The following is a 13,883-nucleotide window of genomic DNA, read 5'->3' as shown; positions in this document are numbered from 1 at the left end:
CAACATAGCAAGACTTCACCTTAAAATAAATAAATAAATGTAGAATGGATAAATTGTGGTATATTTATACAATGGAAATACTACAAGAACAGGTAAAACTTGTCTATGGTGATAGAGCTCAGAACCTCAGAACATTGATGATACTTGGAGGGGAATACTGAGTAAACCTGCTAAATGCGCCAGGTGCGGTGGTTCACGCCTGTAATCCCAGCACTTTGGGAGACTGAGGCAGGTGGATCACGAGGTCAGGAGATCGAGACCATCCTGGCTAACACGGTGAAACCCCGTCTCTACTAAAAATTAAAATTAAAAAAAAAATTAGCCGGGCATGGTGGCGGGCACCTGTAGTCCCAGCTACTCAGGAGGCTGAGGCAGGAGAATGACACGAACCCGGGAGGCAGAGCTGGCAGTGAGCCAAGACCGTGTCACTGCACTCCAGCCTAGGTGACAGAGTGAGACTCCACCTCAAAAAAAAAAAAAAAAAAAAAAAACTTGCTAAATGCTAGAAATATTTGATATTTTGATCTGGGTGCTGGTTACATGGTATACACATATGTAATATGATACTAAATATACATACCTAAAAGTTCATCAAGCTGTATACTTATGCTGGGTTGGGTGGCTCCTGCCTGTAATCAGCACTTTAGGAGGCTGACGCAGGCAGATCACCTGAGGTGAGGAGTTCGCGACCAGCCTGGCCAACATGGCGAAACCCCGTCTTTATTGAAAATACAAAAATTAGCTGGGCATTGTCGTGGGCGCTTGTAATCCCAGCTACTCAGGAGGCTGAGGCAGGAGAATCGCCTGAAACCTGGAGGCGGAGGTTGCAGTGAGCTGAAATCGTGCCACTGCACTCCAGCCTGGGCAACAGAGCTAGACTCAATCTCAAAAAATAAATAAATAAAAATACAAAAAAATTAGCTGGTCGTGGTGGCGCATGCCTGTAATCCCAGCTACTCGGGAGGCTGAGGCAGAATTGCTTGAACCAGGGAGGTGGAGGTTGCAGTGAGCCAAGATCGTGCCATTGCACTCCAGTCTGGGTGACAAGAGCAAAGCTCCGTCTCAAAAAAAAAAGTTGTATACTTAAAGTATGTGTACTTTACTATCTCTGACTTACACAGCAATAAAAAAATAACAAGGGACAGGCCGGGCGCAGTGGCTCACGCCTGTAATCTCAGCACTTTGGGAGGCCAAGGTGGGCGGATCACCTGAGGTTGGGAGTTCGAGACCAGCCTGACCAACGTGGAGAAACCCCATCTCTACTAAAATTACAAAATTAGCTGGGCGTGGTGGTGCATGCCTGTAATCCCAGCTACTTGGGAGGCTGAGGCAGGAGAATCGCTTGAACCCAGGAGGTGGAGGTTGCGGTGAGCCAAGATCGCGCCATTGCACTCCAGCCTGGTCAATAAGAGTGAAACTCCGTCCCAAGGAAAAAAAAAAAAAAAGTAACAAGGGACAATAACATTCTTGGCCCAAAAACGTGTGTCTTTATACCATCTTAAATAAAAATTTAAAAACAGAACATTTCCAATATGCATTAAAATACATAAATCTGAAAATATTGGTATACCATCTAAAATTACTCCCTGTAGACTGGTAATTTAAGTACCACACTTTGGTTAACGCATTCCAGGCACTCTGGGGGTTTTATATAAGCTGGTGCTTGGATGCTGGCAACCTGGGGAAATACTGAGGCCAAGTGGAAATTGTGTAGCTAGGATCCCGCTTTGTCACCAGCCTGGGCTGGGGTTATTGAATGCCAGCGCTCTGCTTCAAGGCACATGCCAGAAGGCTGGAGGGTGAGGAGGGAGATGAACTGGGAAATGGGGCAAAGAAAAAGGGCCAAGGGCAGATTCCTCATACTCTGGCCGTTAGCCCAAGTCTTGGACTCCTGACCTCACCACAGACGAAATAGATGTAAAACAAGCCAATTCGTTTCCAAGTGGGAAGGGTGCCAGCCATAGTTTTTGCTGCCCAAGGAATCAATAAATACTCATTCTTATGATTCATGTTCATCCTGTTTTATTCCAAAGCACTTTACCGAAAAGCCCCTTGGCCCAGCCAAAAAGTTCAGGGCCAGGAGCCAGGACACCTGGACTCCAGATCTGCATGTGGAAGATTTGGAACGTTATTGGTGGGGGGGGGTCTCAAGTTCTCTGTAATGTGGCAAGTGCCATCTGTGGAGGACTTTACAATTTTACATACATCATCTCATTTGGCCTTCTGATCCCTGGTGAGAGAAGCAAATTAAACAGGATTGCTATTCTAACTTTACAGATACGAAACTGGGACCAGGGAAGGTTAATAAGGCACTCAGATTCACACACTATTAAGAAGGTGGGGAAGTTGGGACTTTTGATTCCAAACCCTTTGCTCTTTCCTAGTCAAAACAATAAAGTCAGTTCTATGCCTCACTTTTCCTTTTTTTTTTTTTTTTTTTGACATATTATAATAGGGGGTGTGTGTGTTTGTAGAGGCAGCATCTTGCTATGTTGTCTAAGCTGATCTCGAACTCCTGGGCTTAATCACTTAAGACCTCCTGTCTTGGTCTCCCAAAGTGCTGGGATTACAGGTGTGAGCCAGTGCGCCTAGCCCACCATGCCTCACTTTTAGCGCAGTGTGATCCTACACAAATTGCCCTGTGTATATTCCAAGGGACGATCTGGGTTTGTAGGGCCAGAAACACGTGCAGTTCTGGGGTAGCGGGGAGGTGGTCGGTGGCTCTTTTAACAAAAAAATACCAAATGATGAAAACAAAATTAAGTTCAGGGCCTTGGGCAGGTCCTGCAAGTTAGGGGCCTAGAAGCTGAAATTTCATTAACATCTACTAGTGGTAAATCCGCTTCTCCTACATGCCAGTGCCCTCTGGGAAAAAAAAAAAAAAAAAACAGGACACACCAGATCTTGACAGGGCTTCCTCCCTGTTGGTGAAACCTGATAGAAGTGGGATGTGGAAGTCCTGGGAAAGCAATCTCATTTCTCCCAGGAGACAAGAGGAATTACAGCAGCAGCGAGGCAGGCCGAGTGAAGGAGAAGGCTGCGTGCCAGGGGAGAGTCGAAAGGGGCTGGGTGACCCAGCTGGCCGAGATGCGGGCAGTAGAGCGTCGGTGTGGGAGACTGGCAGCCTGAGAGCCAGGAGCAATGGCGCTGCCCCAGGAGCGGTGGCTGGAGGCTGGGCCCGTTGGAAGCAGGCTTCCTTCAGATGGTCTTCTGGCTCCCTGCGTCCTGTCCTGATAACCTTTCCTCTGAAAAGGGGAGGCAAAGACAGTCAACCACGGCCGTGGCAGTGGGAGAGTGGGTGGTGGACCCTGTCCAGGCCTTTCATCCCCGGCCTGCAGGACAGTGAACCAAGGGACGTCTTGTCGGAGGCTGCCCCGCTGCCACCCGGGGCAGCGAGAACCGGGTGCTGGGCTCCCCTCGCGGCTGCCCGCCGCCGCCGGGGGGCAGCGCCTGCGGCCTGCTTTCCTAGGGATGGCCGAGGCTTTTTGACAAGCTGATTGCGTGGCGGGGATTGGCTGGTCCGGGTGTGACGCCGGTAACAACAAAGGTGGAGTTGGAAGAAATTAGATTAAAGGAGAGGAAAAAAATTAAAGGGGGAGCTGGCATAGGACAGGAGGTAGAGACCGAGGGAGAGATGCGCCAAGCGGTGTCTCCCGGTTCCAACTCCCCCCACACCCGCCTCGACCCTAGAAGATCCCTCGCGCAAACCCACTGGGATTTTGCTCTTTCCCCTACCCCGGCCCAGTGACCGACGCCGGGGTAGCTGCTGCTTCTTGAAAAATCCCCGCAACTCCCACCCCGACACCCGTCACTACGACCCAGGGGGAGAACTTTTTGCTCGGACTCCTCGGATCCTAAACCCAGCGAAACGGGACATTGAGAAGCTTGTCCTAAAACCCGGAAGGCCCTTGCGGAGCATGGAGATCGGATAAGGCGGGGTGCTCCCCCGGTTTTCCGATGTGTTGCAAATCTAAGAGCTTCTTTCTCGCTTTTTTTTTCCCTGTAACTACCCCCCCCCCCTTTTGCTTCAGGGTTGCAAAAGCAAAGAGCAATTAAAAAAAAAAAACCGCGCACACACTCAGACACACACCAGTGGCGACAGGGGAGAGTTGGAAAGACGCAGGAGAGAAGCAGGAGGCAGGAGGCAGCGGGGATGGAGCAATGGGAGCGGGAAGCAGGCAGGTTTCCTTGCAAATCCCCCTCCGGCCTCACGCCGTCTCGCCGGCCCCGGCAGGGGAGCGAGGACCCCGGCGAACAGATGGAGGAGTGGAGCTCGCTCTAGGCAGCTGGGCTTGGCCGGAGAATGGAGGAGCCACCAAGCGACCGGCTGATTGGAAGAGAAACGCAGAGCGATGGAGGCGGGGTAGGAGGACGATTTCTCTGCGGGGACTGGCGGCGGCGTACACGCCCGGGTCGGGCGCTGCAGAGCTTGGCTGGCTTTCAACCCGCGCTCGCCGGCTCCAGCCCCGCGCGCCCCCACCCCTAGCCCTCCCGGCGGCTCCGCAGGTGAGTGCGAGCTGGGGGCAGAAATATCCAAAAGTCTCAACATGCCCGCCCTGCAAAAAGAAAAAAAAAAGACGAAAACCATTTTTCTTTAAAAAAAAAAAATTTTTTTTGTGCAACCCCTAGAGCAGTGGGAGGGAAGGGGTGAGGCTGAGCCGCCCGGAGGAGGCGGAGGGGCCAGGCGAGGCCGGGGTGGCCCGGGAGGCGGCGGCGCCGAGGCGGCTCTGACGGGCAAGCGCTCGGAGCGGCGCTGCGCTGCGCCGAGGCGGGCGGGCGGGCGGGCGGAGCGGGGCGGGCGGAGCGCGGCGCGTGGGGCTCGCCATTAGCCGTCGCTCCGCTTCGCCATCTCGGGCTTTGTCTGGCGACTCGCTGCCCCGGCGTCGGCTGCAGCGGAGCTGCGGCTCGACTGTTCGGCCCGCCGTGCTCCCAGGTGCCCCCGGCCTGCGCTCCCATCCACACGCTCGGTAAGTGAGCCCGGGAGCCGCGGATTTCGGGGGAGAGGGGTTGCTACGAGTGGCGGCGGCGCCGATCTTCATGCGCCCGGGCAGGCCTGGAGAACCATGCCGGGCTGGATTGAACCGGCTCCCACAGCGGCCCCTCCGCCGGAGCCCGTCGTTCCCTTGCCGTTTCCGGGGTGTAAAGAGCAACGGGGATTTTTTTTTTTTAATGCAGAGGTTTTAGTTTTCGGGTTTTTTTTTAAGTTTCGTATGTGCCGTTCGGCAAGGAGAGGACCGCGAGGTAGGCACCGAAGCTGGACGCCGCGATCGGCGTGCGTGCGCCCCAAACCAGCGGCCACGCTCCGGGGGATGAGGGTGGGCGCGGACCGCTCGCTCCGGGAGGCGGGAGAGAGCTGGCCTGGAAGCCCTAGTCTGAGCTGGGAGAACTTGGGGGAGAGCTCCGGAGCAGGGCTGTGGGCGCCCCCCGAGCCTCCCCGGACGCCGGGGGCACCTCCGGGCACCCTCTCCGCGGCCGCACCTCGGCCCTCCCTCGCCGGCGAAGCCTGCTAGTTCCCCCGCGGGTCTGGCGAGGTCGCTCTCGGCGCCCGCCCGCCCGCCTAGGCTCCGAGCCCCGCCGCCATCCGGGCGGCTGCGTGTCTCCCTGCCCCGGCCCCCCCCCCCTTCCCCGGCGGCGGCAGCAGCAGCAGCAGCAGCCGCCGCCGCCGCCAGCACCACCACCACCACCCCCCTCCCCTCCTTCCTTCCCTCCGCCTCGGCCGCCCGGGTCCCCCCAGCTCCCGCCCCTCCTCCCAGCTGCCCCCCGCGGAGCCCGCCCGGGCAGGCTGTGGGAGGGAGCGGAGCCGGCGAGGCGGGCGGGCTGGCGCTCGCTCCCCGGGGGTCGGTGTGCGCTCTACGGGGAAGGACGCGCTCGCTGCCCCGCTTCTCCCGCCCCCCCTCCCGCTCCTCCTCCTCCCTTCTCCCTCCTCCTCCCCGCTCCGGCGGCTGAGGCTGCGGCGGCGGCGGGGGGTGTGCGAGCTGAGGCCGGGGCCGGCGGCGGGCGGGCTGCCTGCAGGCGGAGGGCGCTGTGCTTTGTGCTTTTCGCCGCGAGGAGCAGCAGGCAGCAGCCACAGCCGCCGCCGCCGCCGCCGCCGCCACAGCAGCAGCAGCCGCCGCCCCAGCGCCGCCGCCTCGCCCGGAGGAGGAGCCGCTGCCGCCGCGGGAGGGAGCTGCGGCTGTGCCCGGCCGAGCGGGGGAGGGCGCCGCCACTCAGAGCCAGGGAGGGAGCCGCTGGAGCGGGAAGCCCGGAGGCCGCGCTGCGCCGGGTAACCGAGGCGGCTGAGGACGCGCGCTGGGGTCGGGGCCGGACGGCGGGAGCGAACCGCGGGGTGCGGTGGGCGCCCAGCGGGGACCCGAAGCGACCACCGAGCAGGCGACCGGGCGCGAGCAGACCAGGGCACTTGGGAGGACGCCGAGAGCCGGGGGAGGGGAAGGCAGGAAGCGAGGCCTGAGCCGAGCCCCGGCCGCTGGCGGAGGAGCCCGCGCTTCTCGGAGCCGGCAGGCGCAGTTCTCCCCGGCCGCCGGAGGGGGCGGCGGGGCCGGTGAGCGCTGCGCCCCCGCCTCCCGGCCGCCGTCCTCCCGCCCTCTCCTTGGCTCGGCTCCCCGGAGGCCGGGGCGGGGGCGCCGGCGGGGCTGGGCCGCAGGCTCGGGGGAGGAGGCGGCGGTTCCCGCCGCGGTCGCGCCTCTGTGCCGGGCTCCTCCGTGCGCGTCGGGGTGGCTGGGCGGTGGCGGCGCCTCTGGCCGGGGTGGGTGGCTCGGGGGCGGGGGGCAGGCTAGGCCGCTTCTCTCCGGCTGCTTGCCCGCCTGTGCGGGCGGGGACGGCGAAGGGAGCCCGGGAGGGGGGAGCGGCGGGAATCCGGATCCGGTCCCCGGGGGCGGTGCGGCCGCTCCGCTCCGGGGCTGGCGGCGGCTGCGCTGCGTCCGGGTCCCCGCCGGGTTGCGGAGGCGGGGGGAACCGGCCGGGGGGAGGCGGGAGGAGGAGACTGGGGCGCGTGCCCGCTTCCGTGGCCGCGCGCGCCCTTTACCCGCCCTTCCTCTTCCCCCGCCCTCCAGCCTGGGGCCTCCCCGGGGCGGGCGCTCCGAGGAGGAGGAGATTTTTTCTTTTTTTTTTTTTTTGGCTGGGGTTGGGAAGCGGGGCGGAGGGCGGGCGCTCGCTGCACGCGGGAGCTAGGAGCAGGCCCTCGCGTGGCCAGGGGAGGGCGCGCGCCGCGGAGCCGGGCTGCAGGGGCTGGGGGAGGGGGTCACGAGGAAGAGGAGGGGCGCACTCCCATTCCCATAGACCCCTTAAGTCTAATAAGGTCATGGCTGAGTCTCTCAGAGTGTGGACCTGCCCCCTTCTACTCTGGGCGGTTAGAAAGTCGTTAGTCGTTCACCTCTCAGCCTTCCTGAGTGGGAACTGGTATGTCTTCCAAAGGGTGAGGTGGCTTTGACCCCGGGTTGCCCGGCCAGCACGACCGAGGAGGTGGCTGGACAGCTGGAGGATGAACGGAGAAGCCGACTGCCCCACAGACCTGGAAATGGCCGCCCCCAAAGGCCAAGGTAGGGGCATCCACCCCCGGCCCTCTGAAACTTAAACCCTCTTTCCCTCGTGGCTGCGGGGCTCACTCCCTTCTTCAAGGGCTTTTTCAGTCTGCATACACTGAACTGGGGGAGAAAGTGCCTTGAGTATTTATGAATCAAGCATCTCCCACACTTGGGGTTTGGCTGAATCCAAATTATTTGGCCTGGAGTGGCTCACCTCCCCTCTCTCCCTGTCCCTCACCCTCTGTGTTAGAGGAGGCCTGCCTTCTGGGGTTCCCATTCAGCCTGAAGTGTGTCCCAGCCCAGTGTCCTGGAATGGGAGGAAGGATGAGTGTAGAGGAAGGGTCAGGAAGGGGTTGGGGAAGGCTTCTCAGGCTTTTTAGGAAGACCATGAGGCTTTTGTAGAGGCAGGTGGAGAAAAGGGCTGTTTTGGTGGTTTTAGGCCCCAAGCCATGGGATATATGTACTCAACTAGATCTCTGCCTCATTCAGCAGTGATCCAGTCTAGATGGGGATAGAGAGTAGGATGAAGCTGGACAGCTGGCCATGCTTGTGGGACATTGAGGGGAGAGGGGATTATGGGTCCACGTGGCCCATTCTGCAGAATCTCTGGCCCAGGTTACCAGATGCAAATGAAAATGGAGAGCCCTTTTGACTTCTGGCCTTGGGTGGCTATTCTCCCAGCCCATCCACAGTGGCCTAGAGCTCTCTGGGGCTGCATTTCAGTGGCTGAAAAATAACTGTTCCAGACCTGTTCTTGCTTCCCTGGGTAGTTGGGCTGACAAGACAGCTTGTAATTCTGGGGGTTCTCCCTGGAGCAGGGCCCTGAGAGTTTCTGTGCACCTGCCTACCTTGCCTCAGAGCTGCCCTGTATCCTGCTTCTGCTTCTGTTTCCTTTTTCTTATTTGCCAGAAATTCTCCCTTGATCTGCTTTAAGGGGCTAGGGGGTGGTGGGTGTCTCTAACATTGGTTTCCAGCTGTGCAGGAGAGACATCTGCATGGATTTTCCTTACTGTCCACACCCCATTCTCAGTCGTTGCACATTTAGAATATCCACTCAGAACTTGAACTTGGCAGCACATTTAGATATATTGCTTCCCTGCTTCCCTCCTTCTCTGACAAGCTACCTCGTTTCCCACAAAGCCCTGAATCACTGTACCTTCATTTCCACCCCTCTTCCCCTTACAGCAAATAGCTGCCCGTTGCAGCTTGGCACAGTATAAATGATAATAGCCTTGAAGCAAGCCAGACTTGAGTTCGAGCCTGGCTTTCTAGGTATAGCATGGTCTGGACTGGAGTCCCTGCCCTGATCCAATATGGCCACAGTTTCCTTAGGGCTGAGCCATATCTTGTCTGTGCCTTCAGATGGGAAGCAACCAGGGGCTGGGATGCCCTAGGGAGGAAGAGTTGAGCACTCAAGAACTGGGGAACAGATCGGGGGGATAGCATGAGCCAGGCATGATGGCCTCTGTTACTCTTTACCAGACCGTTGGTCCCAGGAAGACATGCTGACTTTGCTGGAATGCATGAAGAACAACCTTCCATCCAATGACAGCTCCAAGTTCAAAACCACCGAATCACACATGGACTGGGAAAAAGTAGCATTTAAAGACTTTTCTGGAGACATGTGCAAGCTCAAATGGGTGGAGATTTCTAATGAGGTAACTGATCCCCCTTTTCTGACATACACACATACCCCCCACTCAGCGTGGTGGGGGAAGTGAAACAGGCTGTAAACAGGAAGGAAAGAGACCAGGAGAGGCATTCATGTGGTCTCCCGTTAGCTCTCTACCTGCCCCTTTGCATTTTGGGAGGTGGCACGGTTGACAGCACTGGCTTAAAGTTATGCCACTTTCTATCTGAGTGGTCTTGAGCCAAACAGCCTGAGCTGTGCTGAGATTGACGGAGGTGCTAGCATGCTGAGATTGACGGAGGTGTTAGCATGGACAACCAGGTTGAGGTCAGTTAGTCCCCTTGTTGCTGGCCTTTGGTGTGTACTGACTGCCTGGGCCTCTGCGGTAGGCATGGGCCAGTGCCTGGGTGTCATGCTGCCTGCTTCATTTGGCTGTTGGCCTCTGCTCTTCTTTGGTAAATTTAGTCTAGTAAAGAGTAGAAGAGACCCGTTATAAGATGGGGGTATACTACTGTGTGGCATTTTCCTTTTCCCAACTTCCCCTTCCTCCCACCCCTCTTCCTCCAGGTGAGGAAGTTCCGTACATTGACAGAATTGATCCTCGATGCTCAGGAACATGTTAAAAATCCTTACAAAGGCAAAAAACTCAAGGTGAGTTACTAGGAGGAGGAGCATGAGGGGTATGGGAGGAAAGGTCCAAAGAAGGGATGTATTTGACCTCCATTGTGTCCTTGTCCCTTCTTCCAGAAACACCCAGACTTCCCAAAGAAGCCCCTGACCCCTTATTTCCGCTTCTTCATGGAGAAGCGGGCCAAGTATGCGAAACTCCACCCTGAGATGAGCAACCTGGACCTAACCAAGATTCTGTCCAAGAAATACAAGGAGCTTCCGGAGAAGAAGAAGGTGGGGGGAGGAGAGTTAAGGTGGGAGGAGGGGAGAGGCTGGGAGCAGCTGGTGTGGTGTGGGTCAGTTGGAGGTAGGCCTTGGAGAAACCTGGCATCAGGGATGAGGGTGAGTCAGCACAGCAGAATAGGTCCTGGGCAGCCACACCTGATTGCCCCTTCCTCGGCCCACACATGGTCAGGCACAGGCACCATCACAGATGTAAACCAGACAGCAGGTGCTCAGACCAACCTTTCCCCCTACAGAAAACCCACAGCATTCTGTTTCAAGCTCTCTCTCCCCCATACACCCATCCTCACTGTTAGGCTCCGCAGCACTTCTTCACCCTCTATGACGTTTCCCGTCATGGTCTCATTTGATACTTGCAATGTCTTTATAAAGGTAACCCTAGGAAAAGGTTATCCCAGTTTTGTGGGCAAGGAACTGAGGTGCAGGAGGGTTAAGTGTCCCGGGTGACACAACTATTGATGCTAGAGCAGGATTTAGTGCCCCAGAGTCCCAGTCCAGTGCTGTTACTGCCACGTCCACCTGTGAAGTGCACTTCTCCACGCACACGTGTTCACTCAAGGACACACATTGTCCCTCCTGGCCTCATACTGTTCCTTGCAGAGGTCGGGCACTGTCCCAGACCATCAAAGCATTAACTCTGGGTGGAGGGTTGCCTAAGCCTCCCAGGCAGGGCTCAGTCACAGAGCTCAGGAGGTCCCTCCCAGAGATAGGCAGCAAAACATTGGAGGAGCCTGCAGATGGGACACGAGGAAGATGGGATGGGGACAGAGGACACAAAGAAGAGACACGGGACAAGGAGACAGAGCCAGGGATAGATGGGGAAGGGCAGCAGGAAAGACAAGAAGCACATCTGCTTGGAGAGGAAACAAAGTCATACACAGCCAGTTCTCAAAAGGGGGCACTGGCCGCTGCCATGCTATGAGTAGCCCTTTTTCCTGGTTGGCATACCCTGGCTGCAGACTCACATGCCCTTGGTGCTGTACCCAAAAAAGCCAGCTGTCTGCAACCACTGCCCAAGCAGAGAGGGGTATGGATTGCTGGAACTGTTGACCCCTTTGATGAGGATGTTGGACAGTTGACTGCACACACCCAAACACTCTCATGGGATGGGAGGGAGAGGCCAAGCTCTAGAGTCAGAGCCAGGGAAGGCCAGAAGAAACTGGTAGAGTGGACAAGGTGCTGTCCTGGGGGACACAAGACTTGGGCCTGTTCTCCTGGCTCTGCCACTGAACCGCTGTGTATGGGGCCTTTGGTAAGTCATTTCACTTCTGTGGGCCTGGTCTTTATGTGAGGTGAGCCAGGTCTGTGTGGTCCCCTTCAGGTCTAAAACTGTTTTGTCTGAGGAGGACTGAGATGGGGGAAGAGGAGGCTGAGCTCTGCTTCTGGTTTTCTGTGGGAACTGTGGGAAAGGAGCACTGCCTTTCTATGCCTGGTGCTTCTATAAGAGGCAGGGGTTGGGCTCAGTTGCCATGAGCTCCTGGCACCTGCCAGTGCCACTCTTGTGAGCCCGCGAGGATGAAAGAAGAGATGGACATTGTGTGGGAGCCAAGAGAGAAGGTCGATGAGGAAGAGAAAGAGACACATTGGAAAGGAGGAACAAGAAGGAGACTATGGAGAAGTGGGGAAAGATGCAGGGAGGGAGTGAGGTGAGAGTGGGGAGGCTAAAAAGGGGGTGATGAAGGGAAGGGAAGCCAAGTGGTGGGAAAGAATGAGTGGGCTGAGGGAGGGAGGGCTGGAGGGGCCAGACAGCCAGGATCCTGGAGAAAGAGAAGAAGGTGATGGTGTGAGAACTGGGCAGGAAGATGCAGGGTAGCTGGCTGAGACTTGTATTGGAAGAACTCGCTCTGGGTTCCCCTCCACACAATCTCCCCTCATGCCTTGGAAACAGGACTCAGCCCAGCCCTGGCCATAGATGTAGAGGCTACGTACAAGGGGACAGACTAATGTCAGCTGCCACAGACAGTGAGAAGAGGGAGTGACAGGAGCAAGGCCTGCACCCGACGCCACTGTGAGAGTTCTATGGTGTTGGAGAAACGAGTGGGGGAGGCTCAGCGCTGCCACTGCGCACTGTGTGACCGTGGGTAATGCCATGGCCCCCTTCTGGGACTCTTGCTCAGAAGGAGAGAATAGGATGTAGGATTCAGTGTCTGGGCGACCCCTGCAGCTCCCACCATCTGTGGTAGAAGCCAGCAGGTCTGCTCTGTGGTGAGTCCCGCCAGGAGGCGGGCAGGGCGCCAGCCTCCACTCCCTGCATCACAGCGTGGGAGGCAGAAGAGCCAGCGAGGAGGGGTCTGGGTGGCCTTCATAGCTCAGGGTGAGATACCCTTGGGTCCTGAGTGACCCCATCCCCTCCTCCCCCCAGATGAAATATATTCAGGACTTCCAGAGAGAGAAACAGGAGTTCGAGCGAAACCTGGCCCGATTCAGGTAAGGCAGTGGAGCCCAGAGGAGGGCCACGGGGCACTGGGGGCAGCAGAATAGGCTAACCCTGGCCAGAGCCTTGAGTTTGCCATCTCTGAGGCATGGAAGAGGATGGGTCACATGTGAGCCCTAGTGTGTCATGCTCAGGGACAGAGACAGGCAGGCAGCCACCGTCCCACTGAGCCCCAGCTGAAAGGCCCAGGAGGCTTGGTGGGTGGGGCAGCTAGCTTGAGTCTGCCCTGGCAGCGTCCCCTGCTGATCCTTGCTCCCCGTGTCCTGGCTAGGGAGGATCACCCCGACCTAATCCAGAATGCCAAGAAATCGGACATCCCAGAGAAGCCCAAAACCCCCCAGCAGCTGTGGTACACCCACGAGAAGAAGGTGTATCTCAAAGTGCGGCCAGATGTGAGTGTCCGGCCAAGGGTTGGGGGTGGAGGATGCACGGCGGTGGCCAGGGGGGAGCCGCGCCAGGTCGGCCGGGCACGGTGCAGGGGAGCAGGAGAGGAGGCCCCTCCCCAGGGGTGGGCTGCATGGACAGGGCCCGGGCCAGCTGGCGTGCAAGCGTGTGCGTGTGTGCGTGCGTGTATGAGCCAGTCCCCTTGCACCCAGGCGGGATCCCCGCCTCTCCGCCTTCCCCTCCTGGCCTGTGGGGGACACTGATGTGACCTCCCATGGCCTGAGGGGGCGGGGGCCTCTGTGCCCCCTTCCCCCTTCCCCCCTCCCCCTGCCCCTGGCTGCCTGTGCGTGTCTGACGGCTTTTGGTTTGCAGGCCACTACGAAGGAGGTGAAGGACTCCCTGGGGAAGCAGTGGTCTCAGCTCTCGGACAAAAAGAGGCTGAAATGGATTCATAAGGCCCTGGAGCAGCGGAAGGAGTACGAGGTTAGGCTTCCGCTGCGCTCCTCCCCGTCCGGCTCTTCACGAGCCTCTGCCCTCCGACTCCGTGGCCACCGCACTCTGCGGGAGGTGTCACTCCCCATCCCTCTGTTGAGGGAGGGGCCTTCTGGGCCCCTCACCTCTGCCCCTACCTTCCCCACCCCCCACCCCCATGAGATCTCAGGCTAGGGCAGGGCAGGGCACCACGTCTCGTGTGACACCACTGACGCGCAGCCACCCCCAGCTTTGCTCCCTGCCTGCCCTCCCCAGCGGCTCTCCCCCTGCCCCTGCCCTAGCTAACTCCACACCCCATTGCCCTCCGTCCCCCCACCTGGCTCTGCAGGAGATCATGAGAGACTATATCCAGAAGCACCCAGAGCTGAACATCAGTGAGGAGGGTATCACCAAGTCCACCCTCACCAAGGCCGAACGCCAGCTCAAGGACAAGTTTGACGGGCGACCCACCAAGCCACCTCCGTGAGCGCTGCCCTGGGATGGGTGGGCGAGTGGGCAGCTGGGAAGTTGG

The 13,883-nt window shown here is 58.2% G+C and overlaps 1 protein-coding gene and 1 long non-coding RNA gene across 6 annotated transcripts in view, besides 8 other annotated features; one reads left to right on the top strand and one right to left on the bottom strand.

Annotated features, from left to right (window-relative positions):
• The window catches only part of ATXN7L3-AS1 (ATXN7L3 antisense RNA 1), a 24,868-nt gene continuing 12,984 nt past the window's right edge, over positions 2,000-13,883 (bottom strand). The window contains exons 1-2 of one of the 2 annotated variants that reach the window (NR_184072.1): positions 4,091-4,305; positions 2,000-3,245 (exon numbers count right to left, since the gene is read on the bottom strand). This is a non-coding gene — a long non-coding RNA (ATXN7L3 antisense RNA 1). Of the gene's footprint in view, positions 3,246-4,090; positions 4,306-13,883 lie in introns of those variants that run through there. The other variant, NR_184071.1, reaches the window with a different exon arrangement.
• Positions 3,277-3,881: an enhancer, noted in NCBI's record as "H3K4me1 hESC enhancer chr17:42299194-42299798 (GRCh37/hg19 assembly coordinates)". NCBI's record gives its function as "activates a minimal SCP1, AML or CMV promoter by ChIP-STARR-seq in primed H9 embryonic stem cells {active_cell/tissue: H9 hESC(primed)}" and the evidence as "EXISTENCE:reporter gene assay evidence [ECO:0000049][PMID:30033119]".
• Positions 3,366-3,525: a silencer, noted in NCBI's record as "silent region_8586". NCBI's record gives its function as "represses an Ori minimal core promoter by ATAC-STARR-seq in GM12878 lymphoblastoid cells {active_cell/tissue: GM12878}" and the evidence as "EXISTENCE:reporter gene assay evidence [ECO:0000049][PMID:35858748]".
• UBTF (upstream binding transcription factor) overlaps positions 4,403-13,883 on the top strand; it is a 16,265-nt gene continuing 6,784 nt past the window's right edge. Inside the window, exons 1-9 of one of the 4 annotated variants that reach the window (NR_045058.2) lie at positions 4,403-4,506; positions 7,411-7,535; positions 9,003-9,178; positions 9,718-9,801; positions 9,898-10,053; positions 12,425-12,489; positions 12,768-12,888; positions 13,253-13,363; positions 13,701-13,834. Coding sequence is in view for 3 of the 4 variants with exons in the window: in NM_014233.4 (NP_055048.1) it covers positions 7,478-7,535; positions 9,003-9,178; positions 9,718-9,801; positions 9,898-10,053; positions 12,425-12,489; positions 12,768-12,888; positions 13,253-13,363; positions 13,701-13,834 (905 nt within the window). In the remaining variant the exon portion in view is untranslated. Of the gene's footprint in view, positions 4,507-4,824; positions 4,968-6,031; positions 6,263-7,410; positions 7,536-9,002; positions 9,179-9,717; positions 9,802-9,897; positions 10,054-12,424; positions 12,490-12,767; positions 12,889-13,252; positions 13,364-13,700; positions 13,835-13,883 lie in introns of those variants that run through there. The other 3 variants (NM_014233.4, NM_001076683.2, NM_001076684.3) reach the window with 3 other exon arrangements.
• Positions 4,596-4,815: a silencer, noted in NCBI's record as "silent region_8585". NCBI's record gives its function as "represses an Ori minimal core promoter by ATAC-STARR-seq in GM12878 lymphoblastoid cells {active_cell/tissue: GM12878}" and the evidence as "EXISTENCE:reporter gene assay evidence [ECO:0000049][PMID:35858748]".
• Positions 5,326-6,015: a silencer, noted in NCBI's record as "silent region_8584". NCBI's record gives its function as "represses an Ori minimal core promoter by ATAC-STARR-seq in GM12878 lymphoblastoid cells {active_cell/tissue: GM12878}" and the evidence as "EXISTENCE:reporter gene assay evidence [ECO:0000049][PMID:35858748]".
• Positions 6,066-7,085: a silencer, noted in NCBI's record as "silent region_8583". NCBI's record gives its function as "represses an Ori minimal core promoter by ATAC-STARR-seq in GM12878 lymphoblastoid cells {active_cell/tissue: GM12878}" and the evidence as "EXISTENCE:reporter gene assay evidence [ECO:0000049][PMID:35858748]".
• Positions 6,142-6,306: a silencer, noted in NCBI's record as "fragment chr17:42296769-42296933 (GRCh37/hg19 assembly coordinates)". NCBI's record gives its function as "represses an EF-1alpha promoter that drives an FKBP-Casp9 reporter gene in an ReSE screen in K562 erythroleukemia cells {active_cell/tissue: K562}" and the evidence as "EXISTENCE:reporter gene assay evidence [ECO:0000049][PMID:32094911]".
• Positions 7,136-7,305: a silencer, noted in NCBI's record as "silent region_8582". NCBI's record gives its function as "represses an Ori minimal core promoter by ATAC-STARR-seq in GM12878 lymphoblastoid cells {active_cell/tissue: GM12878}" and the evidence as "EXISTENCE:reporter gene assay evidence [ECO:0000049][PMID:35858748]".
• Positions 12,924-12,993: a silencer, noted in NCBI's record as "silent region_8581". NCBI's record gives its function as "represses an Ori minimal core promoter by ATAC-STARR-seq in GM12878 lymphoblastoid cells {active_cell/tissue: GM12878}" and the evidence as "EXISTENCE:reporter gene assay evidence [ECO:0000049][PMID:35858748]".

The sequence above is a fragment of the Homo sapiens genome, chromosome 17, assembly GCF_000001405.40.
Source record: "Homo sapiens chromosome 17, GRCh38.p14 Primary Assembly".
NCBI lineage: Eukaryota > Metazoa > Chordata > Mammalia > Primates > Hominidae > Homo > Homo sapiens.
The sequence above is the reverse complement of the archived record's forward strand: the minus strand, read 5'-3'. Positions and strand labels throughout refer to the sequence as shown.